The 27,176-nt window shown below is 50.2% G+C and overlaps 1 protein-coding gene across 4 annotated transcripts in view, besides 3 other annotated features; it reads left to right on the forward strand.

Annotated features, from left to right (window-relative positions):
• The window catches only part of RREB1 (ras responsive element binding protein 1), a 144,238-nt gene extending 125,800 nt beyond the window's left edge, over positions 1 to 18,438 (forward strand). For 2 of the 4 annotated variants that reach the window (NM_001168344.2, NM_001003698.4), the window contains exons 11-12: positions 12,882 to 13,679; positions 14,969 to 18,438. In NM_001168344.2, the coding sequence (NP_001161816.1) occupies positions 12,882 to 13,679; positions 14,969 to 15,426 (1,256 nt within the window). In that variant the 3' untranslated portion in view covers positions 15,427 to 18,438. Of the gene's footprint in view, positions 1 to 6,895; positions 7,061 to 12,881; positions 13,680 to 14,968 lie in introns of all 4 variants that reach the window. The other 2 variants (NM_001003699.4, NM_001003700.2) reach the window with 2 other exon arrangements.
• Positions 2,582 to 2,681: an enhancer, noted in NCBI's record as "active region_23941". NCBI's record gives its function as "activates an Ori minimal core promoter by ATAC-STARR-seq in GM12878 lymphoblastoid cells {active_cell/tissue: GM12878}" and the evidence as "EXISTENCE:reporter gene assay evidence [ECO:0000049][PMID:35858748]".
• Positions 2,962 to 3,061: an enhancer, noted in NCBI's record as "active region_23942". NCBI's record gives its function as "activates an Ori minimal core promoter by ATAC-STARR-seq in GM12878 lymphoblastoid cells {active_cell/tissue: GM12878}" and the evidence as "EXISTENCE:reporter gene assay evidence [ECO:0000049][PMID:35858748]".
• Positions 24,840 to 25,339: an enhancer, noted in NCBI's record as "H3K4me1 hESC enhancer chr6:7258615-7259114 (GRCh37/hg19 assembly coordinates)". NCBI's record gives its function as "activates a minimal SCP1, AML or CMV promoter by ChIP-STARR-seq in naive H9 embryonic stem cells {active_cell/tissue: H9 hESC(naive)}" and the evidence as "EXISTENCE:reporter gene assay evidence [ECO:0000049][PMID:30033119]".

Genomic DNA, 27,176 nt, shown 5'->3' on the forward strand with positions numbered 1-27,176 from the left:
TTAGTATAAGTATTTTTATGTAGTTCTTGGGATTTACTAAAAAATTATTTGTTTATCCAAAATTCAAATTTAGCTCTGGGCATCCTGGGTTTTTTTTGTGGGTTTTTCTTTTTGCGCTAAATATGGTAACCCAAGGTAGTCAGGAGGTTTATGACAGGATGTTGAGGGTGGGTTGTGGGAATTGGTGTGAGCTGTGCTCTGTGTCCAGGTGGAAATGCATTCACAAAGCTTTGGAGAAGCTCGTGGAAGGATGTTTCTCCTAGATGAGGTGGAACAGCAGGAGGGAGGTCATGGAGCCACCGCTGGATACCTGAACAGTGTGCAGAATGGAGCCTGGGGAGGGAGAGGAATCTGGGAGCCAGAGGGGAGTTGTGGCTGGGAGCGATAGGACTCTCAGTGGCTGCACTGGTCACCAGAGCTTGCCACACAGACACGGCATTTCCTTCTGCTGTGGTGGGTCCTTGAATCCAGGGATTGAGGAGTAGCAAGTCAGGAGTGCCTATCCAGGGAGGACTCAAGGAGAACCAGGATTTCTAGATTTGTAAAGTATGTACTGCCCTTTCATACCACTGTCTCCCTGTTAAAATAGTTTAAGCCTGACAAGTAAAGCAACCATTCTAATGATGACAGCAGTTCAGGGAAGAAAATGCATCTTCAAGAGAAGGTGCCCCTTATAGCAATGTCTTTTGCTACCCTTTTTTGGGTGCCACCTGTTTATCGCCTACTGAGAGTTTATGGAGAAGTGAGTCTTTCTGTTACCACTTTTCAGAAAGCAGATGGTCTGGATCTGATGATTGGCTTGGCTCGCCCCCTTCCTCGGTGCTCCCACCTCCCCCTGCTGTCACCCAACCTCCCCATCTTCCTCTTCTAGTATTTTCTTTTTTAAGAGTTGTGCCCATGTCTTTGCAGGTGCCTGATATGTGTTCCCATTTGTGAATCCAGTCATGATTGCCTGGCTTTTGAATGCCAAAATGTCAGTGTTGGTTTAAAATTTAGTAGCATCTGAAACTGAGCAAGAAAGCAGGAGGTTTGTTTAAGTTAGGATGGGGTAGATATAAATATAAACATTCTGCCTCTTGTCCCTTAAAAGTTATTGATAACCTTGATAGATGTGTCTGCTTTGGCGCAGTCCCTGTATCCTACCATAATATGTTCTTGGTAGAGCTAGTCTTCATGACAATCCTGTGAGGGTGATGTCATCCATGTGTTGCCACAAGGAAATTGAGGTTTACTTTTAAGGAGCTAAGTAACTTGCCTACAGCCATATGGGGAATAAGAGATGGAGCTACTGTTCCAAGCCAGGGTCCGGTTCTGTGCAACTGCCCACTGGTCAGGGTGTGTGTGCCCAGTGTGTCCTCTGTGTGAAGGCAGAAGGCGGGCAGAGTGCACCTTCCATGTCTCCCTGTGTTCCCACATGTCCACATTGCAGAAGGTTTGGAAGTAGTTTGAGATAAGGGGGGACACCACTGTGGATCAGAATGTTATTAGCTAATTTCAGACTTAATGACTACAGAATCGTGTTAGCCACATGCATAGACACTGTATGAAGGTTGGTGCCCATTGAGCTCCATTAATTTCCTTTGCTGGGCTTCACTCTCAGCTTCCAGGGATGTTCAGCATCACCACTGCTAAATCATGTTATATGGAGCACTTGGCTACATCCAGTGTCGTGTTAGAGCATTTTCCATTCACGGAGCATTAGAGCTGGAAGGAGCCTGGGAAGTCACCTGATGGCCCCTCAGCCCACAGACCTGATCTTTCTCCTGGTAGGCAGCTCTGCTGTCACTCAGAACCACATGGATCCTTGGCTCCCTAGGCTTCTGTGAGGCGCTGTCTCCAAAACTTTGAAAAAAGTCTTGAGTGTACACATGTTAAACATTGACTCTGCAGCCACCCTGCAAACAAAGGTGTTATTCGGAGAAGATGTTCTGTGGGGTATTTTTGTTTTTTCTAGTTTTTTGCTTTTGTACAGACAAGGTCTCACCATGTTACCCAGGCTGTTCTCGAACTCCTCAGCTTTGCAAAGTATTGGGATTTTAGGCGTGAGCCACGGTGCCTGGCCGTTTTGTGTTTTTGAGTACAGTGTTAAAATCTAGCTGAGTTCCAGCCAGAAGCATTGAGCAGCATCTGGTTTTGGACTGCATTTAAACAAACTGTCTACACCTTGAATGCTGGCCTCCTCCTACCCCCTCAGCAGATTACTGTACTGTCTCTACTTTGTCTCAAAACACGTGTTCTCCAGTCCTCCCAGTCCTCAAAGGGGCAGCAAGAAGCAGATCCGGTGTTCAGTGTCCAACGAGGGGTATACCTGCTGGCTGCTGGCAAGGAGCATGTGGCCTCAGCCTTTTCTTGCTCCCGGCTCAGGTTCCAGGAACTGTGTTTGATGAGGAAGCTGGCAGGGCTGTCATTTTTCATACCCCCTGGCACAGTCTCCACACACACCTGCCTTTCCTCCTTCCTTCCACTCCTCTCCAGCTCTCTCCCAGACCATACTTTCCTGCTGATGAGGACAGTTCCTGGTTCCTTACCTTTCTCTACCTAAACGCGCCACTCCATAGGAGACAAGAGTGCACTGTTCCTGCCTTTACCCCTCGGGAGCATCTCGTGTGTTTTTAGGCCACAGGTGGAGGAGAGGGTGCCAGGAAACACAGCCAGTCTGTTCTAGCCTCTGTCCTCATTTTCTTCCCCCTTCCCTTTGCTCCAGTTCCTTGTCCCACAGTGATGGGCTTGGGACTATGGGGTGTCCATTCCGGGCTTCCCTGGCTTGCTTACTTTCTCATGGGTGCTTTGAGCGCCTTTTTTGAGCCGGCTCAGGCTTTCCCCCCACACCCTTTCCTCCCTGCTTCTATCTGGCAGTGAGGGTCAGAGCTTCGGTCAGTGAGTCATCCAAACCTGGGTGTGGAAAGCACCTGGGACACCACTTGTATTTGGCTCCTTTTAGCTTTCTTAAAAGACAGCTTTGGCCGTTTGTACCCAGTCCTGTGTACACTTCTGCCAAATACAGAGAGAAAATACCAAAAGAAAGAAACCTGCCTGCAGGGGTGGAGGAGCAATGGAGAGAAGGCTGGGCTGCTCAGGCTGTCATCTTGTTACAAAAAGAAAAGCAACTGCAAGGTTTTCTATGCTAGTTAGACCCCACCTTTCTAACCCTGATTGTCTTTGAAAAATGAACAGAAATGTTTTCAGTTCTGTTTTTTTTTTTTTTTATCTTGGAGGCCAAGGCCCCAATCTCCTCATCAAACTATTCTCACTGTTCACTCTTCTCTTGCCCCAATGTCCTTCTTCGTTTCTTGACTGTTCTGGGAGAGTAAACACTGGCTAATTTTTTTTGTTTGTTTTTGGAGGTTTTTTTTTTTTTTTTTTTTTTTTTGAGACAAGCTCTCACCCTGTCACCCAAGCTAGAGTGCCTGTGTGCACCCTGGCTAGAGTACAGTGGCATGATCACAGCTCACTGCAGCCTTGAACTCCTGGCTGAGTTCAAGTGATCCTCCTGCCTCAGCTTCCCAAGTAGCTGGGACTACAAGTGCACATCACCATGCCTGGCTAATTTTTTTATTTTTTGAGACAAATTCTTGCTCTGTAGCTCAGGCTGGAGTGCAGTGGCGTGATCTTGGCTCACCACAACCTCTGCCTCCCGGGTTCAAGCGATTCTCCTGCCTCAGCCTCCAGAGTAGCTGGGATTACAGGTGCGCGCCACTGCACCCAACTAATTTTTTGTATTTTTAGTAGAGACAGGGTTTCACCACATTGGCCAGGCTGGTCTTGAACTCCCGATCTCAGGTAATCCACCAGCCTCGACCTCCCAAAGTGCTAGGATTACAGGTGTGAGCCTCCGTGCCGGCCTTTTTTTTTTATTATTATTTGTTATAGAGACAAGGTCTCACTGTGTTGCCCAAGTTGGTCTTAAACTCCTGGGCTCAAGCGATCCACCTCCGTTGGCCTCCCAAAGTGCTGGGATTATAGGCATGAGCCACTCTGCCCAGCTGGCTGATGGTTTAAGCGCTCGCGTTGGGGCTTGCAGAATGCTGTAGGTCCTGAGTGCGCAGGTAACTCACTGTGGTTACAGGTGCTTTTACAAATCCCCTTCTAAAGCAGTTATTCGTGGCAGCTACCAAATAAATAGAATCATTTGCTACTTTCTATATAGATGGCTGGCCAACAAGTGTTTTTGAAACCTGCGTTATTATAAAATACTAAACGGGCCCGTTTTCCTGCATCCCTGCAATCCAGAGAGCCCACCACTATGTAAAAATGTCAGACTTACGCAGTGAAATGTGAGCTTCTAATGACTCATGTGAGTTGTTATGTCACTTTGGGAGCCTTTGTAGTTTGATGCAATACTTTCACATCATGGATTGTTTTCTGAATTTAGCATTAATAGGGACCTTCTCATGGGGACGTCAGCCTGGCAGTCCTAACCAACTGTAAAGGTGACGCACTTACCAGTGTGAAAATTACAGAGTAAACCATGTGACAGGGGGGAGCGAGAAGCCGATTGTTTTCTTTGAAATCAAGAATCCTATCATAGTAGCTTCTTACTTGTTTTCCTCTTGGCCCAGTTCTTTTCTCAATCTGGCCAGACTCAGAGAAGCAGCAGTGTTACCTTTTGACAATAAAATGTTAAAAGTACTTTATTTTTACTTGAAATTATTAAATACTGTGTTCAATTTTAAATGAAAAACAATAAGTAATTTTTTTCATTTTATTTTATTTTTGAGACAGAGTCTGTCTGTCGCCCAGGCTAGAGTGCAGTGGCACAATCTCTGCTCACTGCCACCTCCGCCTCCCAGGCTCAAGCAATCCTCCCACCTCAGCCTCCCCAGTAGCTGGGATTAAGGTGTGCACCACCATGCCTAGCTAATTTTTGTATTTTTAGTAGAGATGGGGTTTCACCGTATTGGCCAGGCTGGTCTTGAACTCCTGGCCTCAAGTGATCTGCTCACCTTGGCCTCCCACAGTGTTGGGATTACAGGCGTGAGCCACCGCACATGACCACAAGAAGTAATTTGGAAGACGCACCATGAACACTGACATACTGTACAACTAGTCACACTTTTTTTTTTTAATGTGGATGTTTTAAAAATAAATTTTGCAGAAAACACCTGCAGAATGATATGAGGAGACCCTGAAAACAGTCAGTGGGGTTCTCCACTTTTGTTCAGGTTGCCTTGTGGAGCTACTCAGAAGCACACAGGCCGGATTTCTGGGTGTCTGATTCTGCCCTTTCCGGGTTTCTAATTCTGTTGTCTTTGATTGTTGCATCTTTATTCTTAAAAGCGCCTGAGGAGATTTGTAAGCATCATCTTAAAGGGTCTTTTAGCTCAGGAGGGAATCAATGTCCCCTGTCTCTGATTATTACTCCTGATGTGAAATTGTGGCCATGCTGTCATGGGGGCGGTGCCAGGTCCACACCTTCAGGCTCTGTATGAATGGCGCCCCCTGGAGTCGTGTGACACAGCCAGTGCCGGTTAAGGCTAGTCCCTCCTTCCCCTGGGAAAACACGTGGCCCCTCTGGCTGGTCCCCAGGTGCCAGGCCCTTGCTGTGCATTCACAGGGGAGTGCGTGGCCTTGGGCACCTGCACTAGTTCAGGCTTCTATCGACATTAATCTAACGCCAGAGGCCCCTGTGATCTGTGTTTCCAGGGAGCTGTGTTTAATTGTGGCAATCCTAGGGTTATGAGACAAAAGTACTGGGCCCCAGCTCTGAAGTCATGTTGGTTAACACACAAAACCTTTTACCCTGTAACATTAGCAACTGGGACCTTGGACTCCAGCAACTTGGGGGAAAGGGAGGAATTCAGTGATACACAAGTGATGCACCACCAACTTCCGCCTCCTGAAGGCCCCTGATCCCCTCCCTCCTCCTCTCTTTTCCTCTCCACCTCCTTTTTCCCTTGTGCTTTCTTTCTCCCTCACATGCATCCGCACAAACCCAGGACAAGTTGTAGAGGAGCTTCTATTGCATTTTGAAACATGATGTTTACAGCACAAAAGGAATCCAAGTAAAAGGAGAGGGTAGGCAGACCAAAGCAGGAGGGGACTGTGCCTCTCTCAGTGGCTCACCCATCTGTGCGTTTGGGATGGGTCTAGGGGCGAGGCAGGGCTGCCAAAATGTCCTCTTCACATGCACATCTGTTGAGTGGAGCACATGATCAAATGCAGACATAGTTACGTATTGGTCACTCATTTGCAACCAAGCTTGGAGCAGGGGGAACAAAGAACCTTTAATGAGAAGATCTCCTGACTGTTGCCACCTAGGACCACAGTGAACTTGAACAGAGGTCACTGCAGGATGTCTCGGCAAGTCAGACAGGAGTTGTCCTGGGAAGTCAGAACTCACTGCTCCCGTTCCCCTGTGGGAGGGACACAGCCACCAAGGCCAGGAAGGGGGACTGGCCACCCTGGCTGGGGGCTGTCCCTGACTTCTTCTCTTCATGGGCCCCCAAAGATACCCAGGGGTTCCCCATTGGATTTCCTAGTGTCCATATTACGGTGTCCTTGCCACACTAGAACTCGTTAGAGGGCGTCTTTCTCTTTGTGATAGAATATAGGTGTTTTCTTGCTGTGCTCTAAAATCTCTTCATTCGCTTTTTTTTGTTGTCGTTAATATTTTAATTGTAATACCGTTGTTTTACTTTAAATGTATATTTTTCAGTTTCATTTATTTTAGTATTTTGAGGACAAAAATTCATATTCCATTCAACTTAGGAAAAGGGAGAATGATCATTTTAGTCATTGATGGTTTTTTTTTTTCTAATGTGTTTTGTTAATTTTCTTGAAGGGATGGAGGAGGGGGGAACAACTGCCAATGATCCCAGGAGAATAAACAAAAGCGACTTTTCTATTTCATTGCAGTAGAAAGCCAGATAAATATATATTTTTTTTCCTGCTTCAGGTCAGAAACCCTTCCCTTGTCAAAAATGCGATGCCTTCTTTTCTACCAAATCTAACTGTGAACGCCACCAGTTGCGCAAACACGGAGTTACCACCTGTTCCCTGAGAAGAAACGGGCTTATCCCCCAGTCAAAAGAGAGTGATGTTGGATCCCATGATAGCACAGGTAGTGCCGCCAGGTGAACAAGAACCCAGGAAGAGGGAGAGAGAGGAGTTCGGTTAAGAATTGTAGCAAACTCCAGTCCGAGCTGTGGAGGGGCTGCTTGTTCACTTCTCTGTAGGATTCAGAGCCCACAGCCTGTTAATAGAAAGGCAGGCCCTGCTGATGATTGGGAGGGAGTATAACTCCTGGGTCAGATCGCCTAGACAGACAGCAGAAAACAGTGACAGTGCCCCTCGGTGACTCTCGGGGCTGCTAGGGAAGATCTGTCACCCTCTTGGCAGAAGAGGCCTTTGTTCCCGATGTTGGGAGGTGGGATGTATGGGAAGGCTTACAACTTTAGCCCTGGGTATGAACTCATCTAAAGGGGATGTGAAACCTAAAGGTTTGGGGAGCCTTAGCCGCTGCAGCCTCCTCGGGAGCAGGCCTGGGCTCCCTGGGATATCAGGGTATTGTAGGAACGAGGGGTGCGGTGTTCTTCTTTTCAATAACTCTCTTCCCGGTGTAAGACTGTCCTTGTTTGAAAAAGCACTGTGCATGTCCTTTCTTTAATCACATCTCTGCTTGACCTGAATCCGGGTATTATTCTCCTGTGCTGATGTGTGCTTCCTCCCTCCAGCACCCACAGAGCAATTAACGGCTGCCCGATACGTCTTGTGCCACCTTGTTTCCCTTATAGTTTCTGAATTTACTCATGTCCTCTATCAGTACACTCCATCCGCTCGGACTGCTGGGGTTCTCCATCCTCACCCCCAAGAGCAAACAAAACGAAAGCCAGCCTGCTGCAGGCCACTTAGATATCCCGCCAGTTGGCACTGATTAGTAACAGGGACAGCATCATGGTGCTGGGTCCAGTTTTGCAAGTCTTGAAAACCTGACACTATCTTGTGGCTGCGAAGAGATCCCCCCAGCTGTGTTTTTTTAGGGTTGTATTTGCGTCCTGTGGCTTCTATTCCTCAGACTAGGGTGGAGATGGGGTGCCCTGTAGTTACGAGGCACCCCTGCCTCAGGAGTCAGTGTGGAAGAGGGTTGGGCATTAATCTTAGCCCCTTGTCCTTACCTTGGTTACAGGGGTACAGGGTGTATCTGAAGTGGAGAGGCCACCCTTTGCCCATCTCTACGCCTCCCACTGAGCCCTAGTGAAACCAACTGTGAGTGCTCTTGACTGCCCAACCGCCAGTCTAGATCAGATCCTCTGAGGGTATGAAAGGGTAAGCTGGTTTGTTCACTGCTTCCCCAGCTTCCACTTCCACATAACTCACCAGTATCTTTGAGTGAAGAAAGATGTGGGTGCCCACGGAATCTTAGCCTAACTTGGACCCCTGTGAGCCAAAGATGACCTGGAGTTCAGCCCACTGGAAGCGCACACCAGTGCTGGCAGGCACGCGTTTGCTGCAGACCATCCTGTTAATGTTTAACCATCAGCCGCCACATTACCTGTTAGTCTGGAACATTTTCTTTCATCCTGGTTTAGAAAGCTGCCCTGTGATCTTCCCATAGTGGTTCCACAGTAGCGAAAGCAGCCGGTAACTGAGGGAGCTGAGGGGGAGCCCTTGGGTTTCCATGTTTACAAATAAGTCTTAGTAACTCCGTGCTGGATGTGCATTTTGCATTCAGCTTCTTTATCATAAGGGAGGAACAAAGACTGGGGCTCCTGCTGACATCTGCAGACACAAAGCTGAGTCGGAATTTGTGGTCTTAGCTTCGGTTCAGCACCAAGTGTATTTATAAGTTTGCAGTCATAGGTTTTGTTGTCCAAATCCCAACAAAGCCCTTTCCCACCTCCACCCCACCCCGGAAGTTATATAGGGTTCCTTGAAGGGACAAAGCCTCTAGAAAAAGAAAAGTCACTGAAAGTTGTAATGTGAAACCAGCAAAGAGAAAATACATGTTTGGTTTAGTTGTGGTCACAGTCCATGGTGAGAAAAGGGACTGAGATTTAAGTGGGAGGGAAAAGTTTAGGGAGGCAGAGTTTAGTGATTTCAAGGAGGATTTTAAAATGCAGATGAGCATGATGGACATGGGGTGAAGCCTTCATTCTGGGTTCCCCCCCCCCAGTGAAGTTTAAAAAGTGAGGCTTTGAAGGAAGACCACTTAAAAAAAAGGGGGGGGGGGAAGGAAATGACCAAGGAGGTCCTTGAGGGGTTTTCTAGGCTTGTATGCCTAGGTGGCATTTTCTTAAAATTCCTACACATGTTTTATAATGTAGGTCTGACATTTTTCAGTCTCATAAAGTCCCCCAAAAGAATGCTAAAAATGCCACAGTGGGGGCAGTTCTCCCTTAAAGGTCCATTTTGAATATTCAAATTTCAACTGAAATTCTTCATTCACTGTCCTGGACAGAGAGGCAGCCTGGCCCCCTCTGCCCTTGAGGGATATGCCCTTGGTCCTTCCTCCGATGATGCCCCGTCTTTGTGTTTGTAGGCACCTACATAGGGCTGTTTTTAATTCGTATAAACATGAAAGTGTTTAAGCTCTCCCTTAATGGTGGCCGCCTTTACCAGCCCAGAAGTCCCACATGTCAGCATGGACTACACCTCAGGAAACCCTCTCCATCCTCAGATGCTTTGGGTGGAGTGCAGACACAGCAGCTTCCCCTGCAAAGGCACCCCTGCCAGGTCAGATAATTACTTAGGTTGGTAGTCTGTCACAGTGGTTGAGGCTCATTTAATTTTTAGGAAGCAATAGATCTTTAATTGTTGAGCTGACTAGGGCTGTCTCCACAGTCCTGTAGGAGGAGCTGCGGGTTTATTATCTACCAGGATTCCTTCTGCTTCCTCTAACAGTTTTCTTAGTTGTTGAACAACACAAACCGAGGGACTGATGGGGAGAGGGAAGAACTGCATATTTTTAAGGTAGCATTGCTTATAAAAAGTCATCAGCTCAGCTACCTGCATTTGGGAGTCTGGGTGTTGAGGGCGGGGATTTATACAGCACCTGGCCTTATAAGTTGAGTATTCATGATAGGTGAAGAGGTGAAGTTTTTTGTTCATGAGAATCACTAATGAAAATCAGTTGTTTAGAATGTGAAGGGCACAGCCTACACTGCTAAAACACTCCCCCTAGTGGGAGTTTGGTAGAATACAACCAAGCCCCCTGTGTCCAAAGAGGGAGTTGGCCTTTCATTGTACTCCGGGTGATCTCTCTCCATTATCCGCGCAAAGGAAGGGCCCGAGAGCAGGAACAATTTGATCTTATATTTCTTTGGGTTTTGTTTCAAAATTTATTTTACTTTCTTTAAAGCTCTATCATGTTAAATATGTTCTGTGCAGTTAAAATAATGCATGTTCTTTGCTGAAAAAAAAAAAATAGAAGTGTAGTCTAGGATATACTGGGGACAAAGGGGAAGTAACCAGAGATTAAACCTTCTTTTAAAAATTACCAGTCGGGCGTGGTGGCGCATGCCTGTAATCCTAGCCCTTTTAGAGGCCGAGGAAGGTGGATCACCTGAGGTCAGGAGTTCTGAGACCAGCCTGGCCAACATGGTGAAACCCTGTCTCCACTAAAAATACAAAAATTAGCTGGGCATGGTGGCTCACACCTGTAATCCCAGCTACTTGGGAGGCTGAGACAGGAGAATCGCCTGAACCCAGGAGGCAGAGGTTACGGTGAGCTGAGACTGCACCACTGCACTCCAGCCCGGGTGACAGAGCAAGACTCCATCTCAAAAAAAAAAAAAAAAATTACTTACAAAGGCCAGCCACAGTTGCTTATGCCTATAACCTCAGCACTTTGGGAGGCCAAGGCAGGAGGACCCCTTGAGCCCAGGAGTTCGAGACCAGCCTGGGCAACATAGGGAGACCCTGACTCTAGGGAGGGAAATTACCCACAAAGCCAGCAAACAAATTGAGCGTTCTGTATTTTTATTGTAGAGTTTATACCAATATCCATTCTATAGATGCTCTCTGTTGAAATGATTCAAGAAAAACGAACATCTAGTTTTTCCTTGGAATGTGGCCCAGACATTGGTGTGCATATCCCAGGACTCATATTCTTTAAGCTTTTGGATAATTTTGCAAAATCATTTCTTCTTTAAAATGTTATATTCACACCATAATATTTCTTTCTGAAACCTCTTGAGATACCCAAACAGTGGCTGCCAAAAAGTGCAGTCAGTGTAAAACTAATGAAATGAAATGATGTAAGTAGCCGCGTTATGCAGATGGCTGTGGGTAAAGCCTAAAGCCCCAAGCAGGTGTGAACAGTAGGTACTGTCTCCTCAGACCTCAGGACGGGGCAGAACCAGCTCCTTACCCCAGCCCTCCTGACCGCCTTGATGGCAAATCATCAAGCATGTGACATTGAGGAGGTGTGATGGATGCAGGTTGACATTGTAGTTACACCTGATCACGTCAAGTGAGAATCCAGGTTAGGTGCGTGAATCTGCTGGCTCAAGGACTGCAATCACATCTGGCCTATTGAGGGAGGGGCATCTCGTACTTGTGCCATAAAACAATGACTTTCATCCACCCAATTATCAGAGGAACTTGAATCCCTGCAGTAATAAATCAGACAGTGGCCGGGCACGGTGGCTCACGCCTGTAATCCCAGCACTTTGGGAGGCTGAGGTGGGTAGATCGCCTGAGGTCAGGAGTTCGAGACCAGCCTGGCGAACATGATGAAACCCCATCTCTACTAAAAATACAAAAATCAGCTGGGCGTGGTGGTGGGCGCCTGTAATCCCAGCTCTTGGGAGGCTGAGGCAGGAGAATTGCTTGAACCCGGGAGGTGGAGGTTGCAGTGAGTGGAGATCACACCATTGCACTCCAGCCTGGGCGACAAGGCGAAACTCCGTCTTGAAAAAATAATAAAAACTAAATCAGACATAGGATCTGCAGCTAAATAATAGGTCCCACCAGCTTCCAATGTACTGTCGTAATGCATAATTTTAAGAAGTTATTAAGTCTTCTTTCAACCTTAGTAAAGAGAAGGCCTTTTGACACTGTTTGATGTGAATATTGCAGCCGTGCCATCCCTTAAAAGGACTGTTGAAAACTGATAGGCTTTCCACATACAGTTTTACTGGGTGGAATGGACAGATAGGAACAAATCAAGAGGCAGGAAGTCAGGGTAGGTGAGATGCCTGGAACCCAGAACCCCTTGTCTTCACAGGCACCCACAGCCCTTCACAGTCCGCTCCCCTCACTGTGTGCTGTTGCCAAGCCTGGCATCAAGGGTGCCCTTCCTTTGAAAGATTCCACCACCCCTGGGAGGCTGACAGCTAGGAAGCCTACAAGCTTGCCTGCGCCCCCTTGGGTCTCTGCAGCCTCCACCTGGAGATGAGCGTCAGGCAAGAGTGTGCATACCATACACACACAACGCAGGCTTGGGGTCGTTTCCTGTGAAACTCATCAAGACCATGCTTTGGAGGATTAGGGGTAGGGGTGGTCCTGTGTATGTTGCATGTTTGTATGATCTCTTTGCACTGGAAAAATAACTTATAACTCAAGCTTCCTCAACTTCCCTAGCGCTGCGAGTCTCTGGAATGCACCCCTCTCCTATCTCGCAGCCCCTGTCTGCCCTGCCTGAGTCACTCACACCTTCCTGGGGGCGGGGGCAGTGGAAGCCAGGGGTTCAGGGGCACAGCCAGCCCTGGGAACACACCTGAGGTGATGTGGAGGCTGCTTTTGCCTTTCTTCACGTCCCCAGGGTCATCTTGGTCCTCCTGGGGGATGTAACAGGTGGTGAGGATTTGGGCCGAAAGAAGTCCTCACTGGTTTGGGGTTCAGGCTGCTGGCGTGGGTCTAGCCCATTCCCGGCGACATCCCTGGCATGGGCGTACCTGGTGGTGCCCCTCTGAGCCCTCCCCGCTGTGCTTGCCCCACAGACAGTCAGTCGGATGCGGAGACTGCAGCCGCCGCGGGCGAAGTGCTAGACCTCACCTCACGGGACAGAGAGCAGCCGTCGGAGGGCGCCACTGAGCTCCGCCAGGTCGCAGGGGATGCGCCTGTGGAGCAGGCCACGGCGGAAACGGCCTCGCCGGTGCACCGGGAAGAGCACGGGCGTGGGGAGAGCCATGAGCCGGAGGAGGAGCATGGCACTGAGGAGAGCACTGGGGACGCCGACGGCGCGGAAGAGGACGCGTCGAGCAACCAGAGCCTGGACCTGGACTTCGCCACCAAGCTCATGGACTTCAAGCTGGCGGAGGGCGACGGCGAGGCAGGCGCCGGGGGCGCGGCCTCGCAGGAGCAGAAGCTCGCCTGCGACACCTGTGGGAAGAGCTTCAAGTTCCTGGGCACCCTGAGCCGCCACCGGAAGGCGCACGGCCGCCAGGAGCCCAAGGACGAGAAGGGAGATGGCGCCAGCACTGCAGAGGAGGGGCCCCAGCCCGCCCCTGAACAGGAGGAGAAGCCCCCCGAGACCCCGGCAGAGGTGGTGGAGTCGGCCCCGGGTGCCGGGGAGGCCCCGGCGGAAAAGCTCGCGGAGGAGACGGAGGGCCCCTCCGACGGGGAGAGCGCGGCCGAGAAAAGGTCCTCAGAGAAGAGCGACGATGACAAGAAACCAAAGACAGACTCCCCCAAAAGCGTGGCCAGCAAGGCAGACAAGAGGAAGAAGGTCTGCAGCGTGTGCAACAAGCGGTTCTGGTCGCTGCAGGACCTGACCCGGCACATGCGCTCCCACACAGGTAACCAGGGCAGGCCAGGTCCCCGGCCCAACAAGAGGAGGCGAGCCGGGCACCTCTCCTAGGAGCTCCCCTGAAGCGGCGCTGGAGGCCACCGAGAGAACGTTTGCTTACGTTGCCGGTGTGCCCTTTAAGCCCGTGAACTAGGAGTTTTAAGGAGTTGTACTCTCAGCCCTTGAAGACGGTGCAGGCCTCCTGCAGCCAGGCAGGAGAGGGTCCTTGGCCGTTGTGTTTTTGAGAACGCTGTGATCCGCCTTTAGCTCTGCTGCCTCCGCCTCCCCATCTGTAGAGTGGGGGTAACAGCTGCCCTGTTTCATAGAGGTATCTAGGAGAGGGTGCTTGTGCTGGGCATTTGGGCCACTTAGTCCTGTCTAGTCCTGTGGCCTGGACGACAGGCACTGCCCCAGGCCGCTGTGGGGCAGGCACCCTGGGTGATCCATTAGGGTCAGGAGGGCCTTTTCCTTTCTTAGCCGTGCAGTTCGGCTGAGATGACTGGGACAGGACCCTTAGCCACTGCCCTTCACACCGTTCTAGAGTTCACCCACCACCTGCAGGGTGGAGGCTGCAGACCCCAGAGCAGGGGCGCTTACTTTGACACAAAGACCTGAATATGCTCATGGAGTCCAGAGATATATCCTTCTTCTTTCCAAAATAACCTGTCCCTCCTCTCAGCCGCAGCTTCCCTCCCTGTCACAGCTGCAGCCCGCAGTGAACACATGTGCCCCGACCCAGCGCAGTCGGCTCTGCCCTGCGCTTGCCCGTGTGAAGGGCCAGGGTCCTTGGCTCTCAGAAGAGGGATATTCTTGGGCTCCCAACAAGCGTGGTGGGCCCTGCCCTGGGCCTGGCGTGTGAGCCATCAGGAAAGCCCCCGCTGCACCACATCGCAATGCAGAGGGTAACTGGTGCCCCCGACCTAGGTGCTGCTGTCCATACAGATCCCTGAGAGGGTCCACTCCTGTCCCCCTCTAGATTCCTTCCCAGTCTCTGGTCGAGGCCAGTCTGCACATCTCCTGAGGCTTCTGCTTCTGGGACCTGGGTTTTCTGGATCAGTATGTAGAGTGCCTGGGCTGAGAGAGGAAGGAGAGGAAAGGTCTCAGACTGACAGCTTGAACCAGCAAACAGAGCTTGTCCGTCCTCAGTTTGCTGGTTCAAGGAAGAGGCCTCTGGCTGAGTAGGACGGAGTCCTGGCCCCCCGCACATAGCCTGGGAGCCTCATTCTTCCTGTGCAGAGCAGGGTGCAGTGGGTACTGGTGCCTTTTGGTTAATGGAAATTCTTTCTTCCATTGTTCCAGGGGAAAGGCCATACAAATGTCAGACCTGCGAGCGAACCTTCACCTTGAAGCACAGCCTGGTTCGCCACCAGCGGATCCACCAGAAAGCCAGGCATGCCAAACACCACGGGAAGGACAGCGACAAGGAAGAGCGGGGTGAGGAGGACAGCGAGAATGAGTCCACCCACAGCGGCAACAACGCCGTCTCAGAGAACGAGGCTGAGCTGGCTCCCAATGCCAGCAACCACATGGCTGTCACCCGGAGCCGGAAGGAGGGCTTGGCCAGTGCCACCAAGGACTGCAGCCACAGGGAGGAGAAGGTCACGGCAGGGTGGCCGTCTGAGCCTGGCCAGGGTGACCTTAACCCAGAGAGCCCGGCGGCCCTGGGGCAGGACCTGCTGGAGCCGCGCAGCAAGAGGCCTGCCCACCCAATCCTGGCCACAGCTGATGGCGCCTCCCAGCTCGTGGGGATGGAGTGACAGCCTCAGTCCCCCTCAGCACAGACAAAAGCCAGCAGAGCAAAGCGTCTATACTTCATGGGGTTTCCTCAGTGCCCTTTGGCTGTTGAGGAGTGAGAGAGAGAGAGAGAGAGAGAGAGAGAGAGAGAGAGAGAGACAAGCAGGAGCGTGGCTGCTCGCTCAGTGCCATAGCCTTACCGCAGCCTGCGCGGGAGGCCACAGCCCGTGCCGATTCCAGTGCCTTAACTACTTACCGGATCCCTCCATATTATCATGGGTGTTGTATTTTTCCAAAATGACTTCTTAAACAAAACAAATATTATAATGAATTGTCTGGAGAGGACCTCTTCATTTGAGCATTAGCGTTATTTTGTATTGGTGTGTGTGAGCTTGTTCTTGTGAATCTGTGATAGCACCGTTTGTTCTGTGAGCTGGAAACAGAAGGAAAAAACATACCCTTGGGTACCCATAGCCAATAACTGGAAGAAAATGATGTGAATTTCATGTAAATGACCAGAGGAAAGATGGATAAGATGATAATTTCTTAAATAGACATTTTCCTTTTTTCTTTGTGCTTCATGGTGGAGCTGTCATCTGGTCCTTGGTATTACAGGATGTGGTTGATGAAGGTTTCCAATATGGTTTCAGGCCAAAACCAGGGAAGATTCTAGCTTCAGCCTCATGTCCATTTCCAGTCTGTCAGCATTAGACATGGTCACTGTTCAAGTTTCAAGACATCCATTCTTAACTATAGAGAAGAGTTACTCCCCTGGCGTCTTAACCTATGGAAAACATGCACGGATAGGATATATTTGATTGCCTCCTCTTCCCTTTCAGTATATGTATTATTAATATTATTATTATTATTATTATTATTAGTTCATCAGTTTGCTGTTCTCTGCAGTGAGCAGAATCAAATGGGCAATATTTGTCCTGGGAGACCTGTGCCGCACCCAGGTCCCCGTGTTAACGTGTGCCTGCGGTTGTGGTTGGCACCCTCGGGTGGTAGCTCTTCTACTGTAATGAGACAAGCCTTTCTTCTGTCACTGCAGAATTTAGAAGGGGCCGTGAGCAGTCTTCCCAAGCATGGTCCAGGAGCAGCTCAGAGAGGGTGGAGTGAGGATGCATGCATCCAGGGAACAGGCATCAAGAAGCCAGGGCCGTGCCTGGAGCACTGCAGAGATGACTTTGGAGAAAGCAAAGCAGTGACCCAGTGACCAGGCACATTACTCGTGAGCGAGGTATTCCCAGTCTTCCTGCTAAGCCTAATCCAAGCCTTACCCAGCTGTGCTACTGTCATTTGCAAAGCAAGGAAATACTACTACTGGTAATAAAACTACACATGCAAGATGTCAGATAAGAAATAGGTTTATATTTACCTTCCTGCGATGTGGGGTTGGTGCTTGAAGATAAATGTGCTGTTTCTAGTTTCTTAAATAGCCCACACCCCTGGATGCAAAAAGGCAGGGTTATTTTTACCCATGAGCATCCTGTGCAGGCAATAGACTTCCCTCACTGTCTCCGCCTGCAGGGAGGAGAATGTACCCCACTGCACCTGAGCTCCTGGTCCCTCAGCCAAGACCTCAGGGGTCCCCAGCCAGCCTGCTGCTGGGGACCCCTGTGCTTGCTGCAGTGTATGGAGCCTCTTGCCTTCCCCTGGGGAGGCACCCCTGTACCCCAGCTTCCTTCCCCTGGCCTTTTCTGGCCCCAGTGCTCCTCCTTTACATAGACTTGTTCACACAGAAACGTGCACGCCCCCTTTTCTCCGCCACTTCACCAGTTTCTGAAATCCAACCTCCCAGACTTCACAGGAAGATAGATATTCTTGAGATAATGAAAAGTGATATCTTCGCATACGAAAGGAAAAAAGGTTGAGGTATATATGATTTTTAACTGTATTAGGGGTGTATGAACCAGTTTAAAAACGAGGTTTTATTTACTGTAGAGATGAATGCAAATCAGAACCAATGATCCCTTGGCCTACTTAGTTAAAACCAGTTCATACATCCCTTAGGGTTTTTATTATTATTATTATTATTATTACAGTTGTTATTGTTGTTTTTGTTGTTATTATTATTTGGGGTTTCTTGTGTTTTTTCTTTGCGACTCTCCACACTAAACTTGCAATATTGTGGGGAGAAGCTGTGACTAAACTCTACGCTGCGGTGAGATGTAGCAGTAATCAGCTCCCAGCGACGTGTGTAGCTGGGGCTGCCGCTCGCAATAATCACTATTGATTTAAAGCTTTACTTAGCCTTGATCTGTACCCTCGTAGTCAATAAGGTCTTGCCACATTTTATTAGTGAGGTGGAGAAACGTATTATTTGTTTGTTGTTTTTGCCCTTCCCCCACCCCCCAATATTAAACTGTGAAATTTGTGATTTGTTTAAACTCTGGGTGAATCATAGCTTAGTTTGCATGTCCAGCTAATTTGTTTCTATACATTTTGTTTGATTCTCTTTCTCCTTCTCTCAGGGCTTTTACAAAAAAATATATATATATGGATCTTCTGAAAAGTTTTTTGAGGTGCAAGTTTTTTCTCTTTTTTTTTTTTTTTTTTTTTTCTCATTGATTAATGGACATGATGCTGAGATTCAATCACTACATGAAACACCTGGCTGTGAAAACAAAACAACCCAGAGGGCTGTGTTCCAAGCAGCGCTGGGGAAGCTACGTAACAGTCGGATGCCAGTTTTGGAAGATTCACCATGCGTTCTGACCCTCTGTTCGTCTCTTTCCTCTCCTCTTTCTTCAAGAAGGAAATTGATCCTAGTGATTTCAGCCCATGCATTAAACAGGAAACAATAATAAATTTGTAGAATTCATATTTTTCTAAAGGGAACTTAAAAACTGCTGCTACATGTTATGTACAAAACTGGTTTATGCCACATGAACAGAGAATCACAAGTTTGGTTTTGGTACTTTTTGTTCCTCTTTGTATTCAGTTGTATAGAACTTCCAAATTCAGAATGAGAAGAAAGCTGTTCTGTATCAAACCATTTAAGCAATAAATGTTATATTTTAAAAGCTGCAGATTGCCGGTCACGTGGCCGTCCTGTGATTTGTTGTGATCCCATCCCCAAACCCACAGCCCACTTGGGGCAGGTCCCAGGTGTGCAGTACCATTGGGGGGAGTCACAGGTGCCCAGGAAAGCTCTTGTCACCCAGGCAGCATTTTTATTTGCGCTGGAGGCTGTGGCAGTGACTCTTGCCTATGCTCCCAGCACTTTGGGAAGCCAAAGCAGGAGATTCACTTGAAACCAGAAGTTCAAGACCAGCCTGGGCAAAATAGTGAGACCCCTATCTCTAGAAAAAAATGTTTAAGAACTAGCTTGGCATGGTGGTACATGCCTGTTGTCCCAGCTATTTGGGAGGTTGAGGCAGGAGGATCGCTTGAGCCCAGGAGTTTGAGGTTGCAATGAGCTACGATCGTTCCTCTGCCCTCCAGCCTGGGGGACACAGCAAGACCCTGCTGTATGTAAAAGCACTCGGCTGCAGTTGTGAGAGCTGCTTTGAGAGCATGTGGAAAGTTAAGTGCATGGCCACTGTCAGAGCTTCAGAGTGGAGATCTTGGTGTTGGGTGCACAGGGCCAGGAGGCTGGACCTAATGAGGCACCACAGTGCAGGCCACTCTGTCATTGGCTAAAGCCAGCATTTTTGTTTCCTGTGCAATAATGCCTAAGAAGTCCGCCTCGCCTCTTCTTCCTCCAACCCAGTGGTAAGTGATTGAGTCAGCACCTAGTGGAGGGAGAACAAAATCTGTTAGTGTGACCAGATTTTGGTGAGACGGGAGGGGACAGCAACCCTAGGGCTGGGGATGGTGCAGGTTAAAACTCACATTTGGGTAAAATAGCAATCAGCAGAGCCCCAACTCCTAGCAGAGCCTCAACTCCTATAACTAGGGAGTGGCTCTCAAAAAGCAACACTGGGGGCTGGGTGCGGTGTCTCACGCCTGTAATCCCAGCACTTTGGGAGGCCGAGGTGGGTGGATCACAAGGTCAGGAGATTGAGACCATCCTGGCTAACACGGTGAAACACCATCTCTACTAAAAATACAAAAATTAGCCAGGCATGGTGGCAGGTGCCTATAGTCCCAGCTACTCGGGAGGCTGAGGCAGGAGAATGGTGTGAACCCGCGAGGCAGAGCTTGTATTAAGCCGAGATCGCACCACTGCACTCCAGCCTGGGCGACAGAGTGAGACTCCATCTCAAAAAAACAAACACTGGGCCGGGAGTGGCGGCTCACACCTGTAATCCCAGCACTTTGGGAGGCCAAGGCGGGAGGATCACTTGAGGTCAGGAGTTCGAGACCAGCCTGGCCAACATGGTGAAACTCCATCTCTACTAAAACTGCAAAAAAATTTGGGTGTGGTGGTGTGTGCCTGTAATCCCAGCTACTCGGGAGGCTGAGGCACGAGACTCCCTTGGACCCAGGAGGCAGAGGTTGCAGTGAGCCGAGATGCCGCCACTGCACTCCAGCCTGGGCCAACACAGTGAAACTGTCTCAAAAAAAAAAAAAAAAAAAAAACGAACACTGAAAGAAGTTGGTTGTGGAGGAGGCTGATTGTGGATAATGCTAAAATGCATTGAGTGCACTGTACCATACACTGCTAAGTGCCACCTCCCTGCAGGACCAGAGCTGTGGCTGTGGTCCTTAAGCTTTTTCAGGCCCCTCTGTTGAAAGACGTAGAATTTAACACACATTTATATGTGGGAGCTTGGGGGATCCGCATGCCTGAGTGGGCGGTGGCAGGTGGAGATGTACTAGCCCTGGGTAAGCGGATCTCAAACCTCAGGTCCTCCGCCCAAAGACATAGCCAACCACCTGCGCTGTGTTAGAGATGCAGGACAAAGAAGTGGCCACGAGCTGTGTTGCTGGGGACAAGCTGGCTGGCATGACAATCCCAGTTCTGCCTCTTCGGGCTGGTGAATGGCCTTGTGCCTCAATTTCACCATTCCTAAGAAAGGGATAGCGATAGTACCTGCCTCATGGGCACTGTTGTGTGGATGCTATGAGTTAATTACATAAGGTGCATGTTAGGGGCTCTCGTTATTGTTTCTACAGTCTTCTCATGGGAATGCTTCCTTGGTTGCCTGGTGAGGAAGTAGGTAGAACTTCACCACACACATTCATGGCACAGTGCGGGGAACAGCCAGAGGAGGGCCTTGTGGGAGATCACCAAGATGCAGGCACTGTCTTTGAACCCCAGGGAGTCTTGTCACCTTCTCCTACCTGGCCTCCTCTGGCCCTGTAATCCCACTACCTTCCCGCTCAGCCTGTGACCTCCCCATGGCCCCAGGACTCTGCCTGGGCCTTGGTGCTTATCCAGCATCCCCACCCTGGACCAAAGCCTCCTCCACTGGAGGAGGGCATGGGGCATGGGGATGGGGGAGCTGGCGGCATAGACCTAGCACCCAGGATGAGGCCTAGTCCCTTGTTACCTTACTGCTCAGAGTGTCGTCTGAAGACCCAAAGCATCAGCATCCCTGGGAGCTTGTTAGAAATGGCAACCTCAGGTTGACCTGGTGCGGTGGTGCATGCCTGTTGTCCCAGCACTTTGGGAGGCTGAGGCAAGAGAATCGCTTGAGGCCAGGAGCTCAAGGCTGCAGTGAGCTATGTTCACACTCCAGCCTGATTGACAGAGCGAGATCGCATCTTCACAAAAATAAAAACGTAAACCAAAAAATAAAAGAAATGAGAACCTCTGACCCACCCAGACCTGCTGAGTCAGAATTTGCATGTGAACAAGGGCCACAGTGGATATGTGCACACATTGAAGTTTGAGAAGCTCCGGTCTAGACCCCAAAGCTTGGTTCAGAATAAGGTGGATGGCGGACTCGGCAGCTGGCTGCAGAGACGGCTGTGGATTCTCCCCCTCAAAGACAGAATCCATCTCAGAATGAGTGGGCAGAAGCCACATATGGCTTTAGAGAGTGCCGATCTTGGCCCTCCAGAGGTTCCTTCCACAGTCCCTACTCCAGCCCCAGCACAGACTCAGCCACTGCCTAAACCCGAGTGCCCCAAGAGTCTTGTTTGGGGTTTCTGCCTGTTTGCCATCCTTGTGGATTCCAAAGGCTACTTTGAAAGGGCTGAGGAGCGAGTGGGGCCTCCAACCACTGGCCAACAGCGCCAGCTGCCTGCTTGCCTGTCCTGGTGTTAAGCCTTGGGCCTGGAGCGCTCAGGCCTCTCCCCTTCATAACCACCTCCCTGAGGAGGACAGGAGTGAGGGAGGATGACTAGGCTTATTTTAAGCTTGTAATTGAAGGTTGCTCTTTAGCAACAAAAGAGTCCCCTCCAATTCTAGACTGCCAGAGTCAGTGTCCTAAATAAGAAACAAGCGGTCACTCCTTTCCCGTTTTACTGTTAGGGGAAGGAAGCCACAGCCCAGTGGGGAAGTGACATCCCTGGCCCTTGCCGTTCACCACTTCAAGTCTTGCCCAGCTGTCAGGGCAGGAATTCATGTCCCCACGGTGGCATCTGCTTCCCAGGCTGTGGGGCCAGCAAGGGGCTCAGCTGCTCCCCAGCCCTGCCTTCCTCCATGGATCTGACATGACTCTTTTATGGGAATTTACGTAAAAGTAACGCCTTGCTCAGTGTGGAAAATTTAGGAGCTTCAGGAAAATATAAAGAAAATTAAGGAAGTCATCTCGCTTCTCAAATACCGTGTTAATTTGGTGAGTGTTGCTCTTTTCATTGGGCCTCACTTTTCCCTTCCTCATTCTCAGATGTGTTTGTACAGGACTTTGCACACTGCAGTGTTTTCCTGTGGTTTTTGTTTCTTTTCTTCACCCAAGTCCAGTGAGCTGTGAAGGAAAAAAAATCCTTATTCCTTCAGAGCAGGGACGAGCATTGAAATGATTTGCCCAGGTCAGCTGGCTATTGAGTGCTTTTGTTGGGATGAAATTCTCCACCAGAAAAATCCTAAAACAGAAGTCCCCAAGAATGGGTGGTGTGTGTCGTCCACTGAAAAGGGAGTTACTGAAAACTAGGAATGCGTGGCCTCTAGGAAACATGGCACTGTTGTGATTTGGCACATAGATATTTGGCATACATATTCCCAGGGTCACTGAGTAAATTCCCAACTGTTCCAGTTCTCTTTTGCTGCATGACGAAGAACACCAAAACTTTGGGTCAGGATTCGGTGGGTTGGGCAGGGCTCTGCAGGGATGGCTCATCTGTCCTCCATGAGGCATCAGCTAGGGCAGAGCCTCCAAGACCATTTTTTCTCGCTCATATCAGGTGCCTCTGTGTGTACAACCCACCCACTCACCTACCCACTAAAAGAACCATTCTTTGGGTTGCTTGTTAAAAATTGCATTTCAGGCCGGGTGCAGTGGCTCACACCTGTAATCCCAGAACTTTGGGAGGCCAAGGTGGGCAGATCACCTGAGGTCAGGAGTTCAAGACCAGCCTGGCCAACATGGTGAAACTCCATCTCTACTAAAAATACAAAAATTAGGCTGGCATGGTGGCAGGTGTCTGTAATCCTAGCTACTCGGGAGGCTGAGGCGGGAGAATCACTTGAACATGGGAGGCAGATGTTACCATGAGCCAAGATCACGCCACTGCATTCCAGCCTGGGTGACAAGAGTGAGACTCTGTCTCAAAAAAAAAAAAAAAATTGCATTTCAGATCTACTAATTCAGGATCTCAGGAGGGAGGACCCAGCCATATACATTTTTAGCAAATTCCTAGAGAATTTGCTAAAGCCCAGAAAAGTTTGCAAACCAGGGCTCTGTTAAAGACTGTTCCAGATTCCTGCCCCTCAGTTGTACCTCTAGTTGCCCCTCAAGCTAACACCAAGGCAAATTGTTTGCAATGGAGCCATTGTTTGGTCTGGGGTAACTCTCTGATATCTAGGATATGTACTGGAAACTTCCTTCAAGCCTCCTGCCTGGCCTCTTTCCCTGCTTTTGCAGCCACTCCTCTACATACATTGGCACAGGTGCTCCCACCCAACTTTACCACCTACCCCCCAAAAGGGAACTTCTAAGAACCTGTGGCTGGGCTCGACCTTGGCACTGAGTCTAGGAGCAGTTGCCTCCACCTGGCTTACCTCCCTGAAGCTTTGGGTCCCTGGTCTCCTGATACGCACTTGTCAGGGCTGGCTCATAATGCTGGGATCCATATGGATAAATGAAAATGTGGGGCCCCACTCTGTCGCCTGGGCTGGAGTGCAATGGCACAATCTCAGCTCACTGCAAACTCCACCTCCTGGGTTCAAGCAGTTCTCGTGCTTCAGCCTCCTGAGTAGCTGGGACTGTAGGCATATGCCACCACAATTGGCTAATTTTTTTTGTATTTTTAGTAGAGACAAGGTTTTACCATGTTGCCCAGGCTGGTCTCGAACTTCTGGCTGCCTCAAGTGATCTGCCCTCTTGGTCTCCCAAAGTGCTGAGATTACAGACATGAGCCACTGTGCCCATCTTGTGTTTGTTTTTGTTTTGTTTTGTTTTTTGTTTTTTAAGAGACACGGTCTCACTCTGTCGCCCAGGGTGGAGTGTAGCGACGCAATCTGAGCTCACTGCAGCCTCAATCTCTCAGGCTCAAGTGATCCTCCTGCCTCAGCTTCTCGAGTAGCTAGGACCAAGGTGCACACCACCACACCCGGCTAATTTTTTTGTATGTTTTGTAGGATGGGGTTTCGCCATGTTGCCCAGGCTGGTCTCAAATTCCTGGGCTCAAGCAATCCTCCCACCGCGGCCTTCCAAGTGTTGGGATTACAGCGTGAGCCACTGTGCCCGGCCAATGGGCTCTCCAAGGCCACATTACCTTAGACATTGGGATACTTACATGCAGGTGTCCACAGGTGCCTGAGATCTCACATCCACCCGACCCTCTCTGCCTCCACACCCAGGCCTCCACCAGGAGCCAAGGGGGCCGCAATCACTAGGCAAGGGCAGGGGGTTGAGTGGCCAAGAGCCCGTCCCAGGGAGGCAGGAGAGAGAGGGAGGCAGGACCACATAGGAGCCAGGGCTCCCGGCAGCCAGTGCACACTCCATTGTCCCATCAGAGTTCACTGACGAATCTCAGTTCAAAGATAGTATCGTAAAGAGTTTCAAGATGGGGCCCTGGGAGCATTGAACTCCAAGCACAGGCCCTCGCAGGGGTCCCACTGCAGGAAGCCGGCCCTGCTGCTGACCCTGCCCACCTCCCTCAGCTCCTTGGTCCTGTCGGGTCTCCCTGCTGACCCCATGGCACTGCTCCACGCTCCTGTCTGTGGGGCCCCCGTCTGTCCCCACCTAGAATTCTGTTTCCATACCAAGGCCTAACCAATGGCCCCTGACCCCGTTCAGTGTTTTGAACCAGCCACTCCTGTTTTTGGCGGCCCTGCCCTCCCATGAATCTCACGCCCACGGCTGCCCTCGGATCTGGACACAGTTGCACTTGTTATCTGGTATCAGCACTAGGGAGGCTCAGTCAAGCCAGCACTAACGGTGGGTTTGGTGTCCTTGGGACTTCTCCACCCAGGGCCTGTGCCAAGGCTGGTCCTCAGTGCTTGGTCAAGAGTGGCTCTGGCGGCTCTGGGGTGGTGGCCTCTGCAGCTCAGTGCCCCTGCCACCCATGCTCACTGGATGGGGGCAACACCCTTCCTCCCAGTTCAGGGTGGATGGGCCCCAGAGCACCACCCAGCCAGCCAAGCCTCCTTGCCCCTGCCCTGCCCTCCGAATGGCCCAGATCATACCTGCTGCCTTTCTTTCCTAGCTCACTGCCTCCACCCAAGTCACCTTCTGTCCTGACTCCCAAGGACTTGGGTCCCACTGGGGAAGTCGGGAGGAAATGGGAAGCCTTCCTGACTGTGAGTGAGGGCAGGAGGGGAGGTGGGGTCAGAGAGGGCACCTGGAGGGTGGCAGGAGAGAGCAGGAGAGCGTGAGAGAGGTGGCAGAGGAGGGGGTGCGAGTAAGAAGAGAACACCATCATTGTTTACCAAACCTGAATTACACCACACCAAGTTGTCCTGTTATTTATTTATTTACTCATTTATGTATTTTAGTGTGTTTAATTGAGGTTAAAAAAAGAAGCAAGAAAAGTGTTTGCAGATTGGCTTTATGGCGGTGAGCTTTGCAATGATCTCTGAAAAAGTCCGGGGAGTCCGGCAGGCAGATGAGAATCTAGGCTTGCTGGCGTATCCAGATGACTCGGAAGGAGGACCCCAGACGGGGAGGGGCAGTGCTGGGAGCAGGAGGCGTCCTGGTCAGGCTGTCCATCCATGTCTACCCAGCAAATATTTGCAGGCCCTGAGCTCAGCAGGGGAGGAAATCTCAGGCAAATGAGACACAGACTCTGCCCTCCAGCCGCTTCGGAGAAAACAGCCGAGAAGGACACTGTTAAATGGAGTGGCAAGCCCAGAGCATCAAGGGCATTTGGAGGTGGGGGGCACTGCTGCTTGGGGACATGTAGACAGAATTTATAGAACGAGGCCCCTGGAAGGATTTCTGCAGGTTGCAGCAGGGTGGAGGAGCGTCGCCGGCCCGGGGCCAGGAAGAAGCTCAGGGCACAGGGAAGCTGGCCACGGGGTGTCCCATCACATCAGAGTGGTGTGGGCTACGGCTGGAAGGGGAGGCAGGCCACTGGCTGACACGCCGCACAGCAGACCGTGAATAGACGCATGAGCGAGTCAGGGAGTCAGGAGAGCTCTGAACACTTGAGTTCATTTCCTGCTGGAGGTGGGAGCCGTTGAAGGTTCTTGAGGGCATCCGTGAATGCACCGGAACTGTGGTCTAGAAACGTCCTAGCAACAGTGTGAGACGGGGAGCCAGCAGAGAAATCATCAAACAGTCTAGGCAGAAGGTAACGAGGGCCAGATGTGGTGGTGTGCACCTGTAATCCCAGCTACTTGGGAGGCTGAGGCAGGAGGATCACTTGACCTCAGGAGTTCGAGACCAACCTGGACAATGTAGCAAGGCCCTTTCAAAGAAAAAAAAAAAAAGGAGTTGGGGAGAGAGAGAAAAGGTAATGAGGGTTTGAAGTGGGCTGGGGAGGAGAGGAGCACTGGAGAGATCGCATTTGGCAGTACTTGATTAACGAAGATTGCAATGGGGGCGCACTCAAGCTTTCAACATTGTCACCGGAAATTGGGGGAGGTGGTGCCATGAAGGATGCCGGGGAAGCCAGGTGGAGAAGTCAGTTTGATGGAACACAGAGATCATGGGTTCCTTCTTGTTGGAGGTGTCTATCAGAGGTCTTCAAGTGACAAAAATTCAACTCAGAGGCTGGGTGCATTGACTTATGCCTATAATCCCAACACTTTGGGAGGCAGAGACAGAGGCAGGACTTGAGTCCAGGAGTTCGAGACTACCCTGGGCAACAAAGTAAGACCCCCATCTCTACTATAAATAAATAAATAAATAACTCAGATCAGCCTCTACAAAAATGAGAATGGGTTAGCCCACATTGACAAAAAGTCCAGAAAGTGACTTTAGTTAGATGCACGTCCACCAAAGCTCATGTTCGAGCCCACCATGTCCCATCTCCTGGTTCTGCTTTCTTCCTCAGGGAGAGCACCTGCCAGGCAGCAGTGTCGCTCAGCTTATGCGCAGCCAGCTTGGGGACTACAGCAGCTCATCCTAACAAGAGACCAGAACTTCAGGCTGGTCTGAGGCATGTGCCCACCTCTGGGTCACACGTCATTCTTGAAGCAGTGGGCAAGTCAAATATCCCCACCCCTCCTGCACAGAAAAGGGGAGGATCCCAAGAAGAGAATGTGGGGGCTGCCTCCAGGAGGAGAAGAAAGACTTGTGGGTCCACTGCAGACATCCAGGTGGAGATG

This window comes from Homo sapiens, chromosome 6 (genome assembly GCF_000001405.40).
Source record: "Homo sapiens chromosome 6, GRCh38.p14 Primary Assembly".
Taxonomy (NCBI): domain Eukaryota; kingdom Metazoa; phylum Chordata; class Mammalia; order Primates; family Hominidae; genus Homo; species Homo sapiens.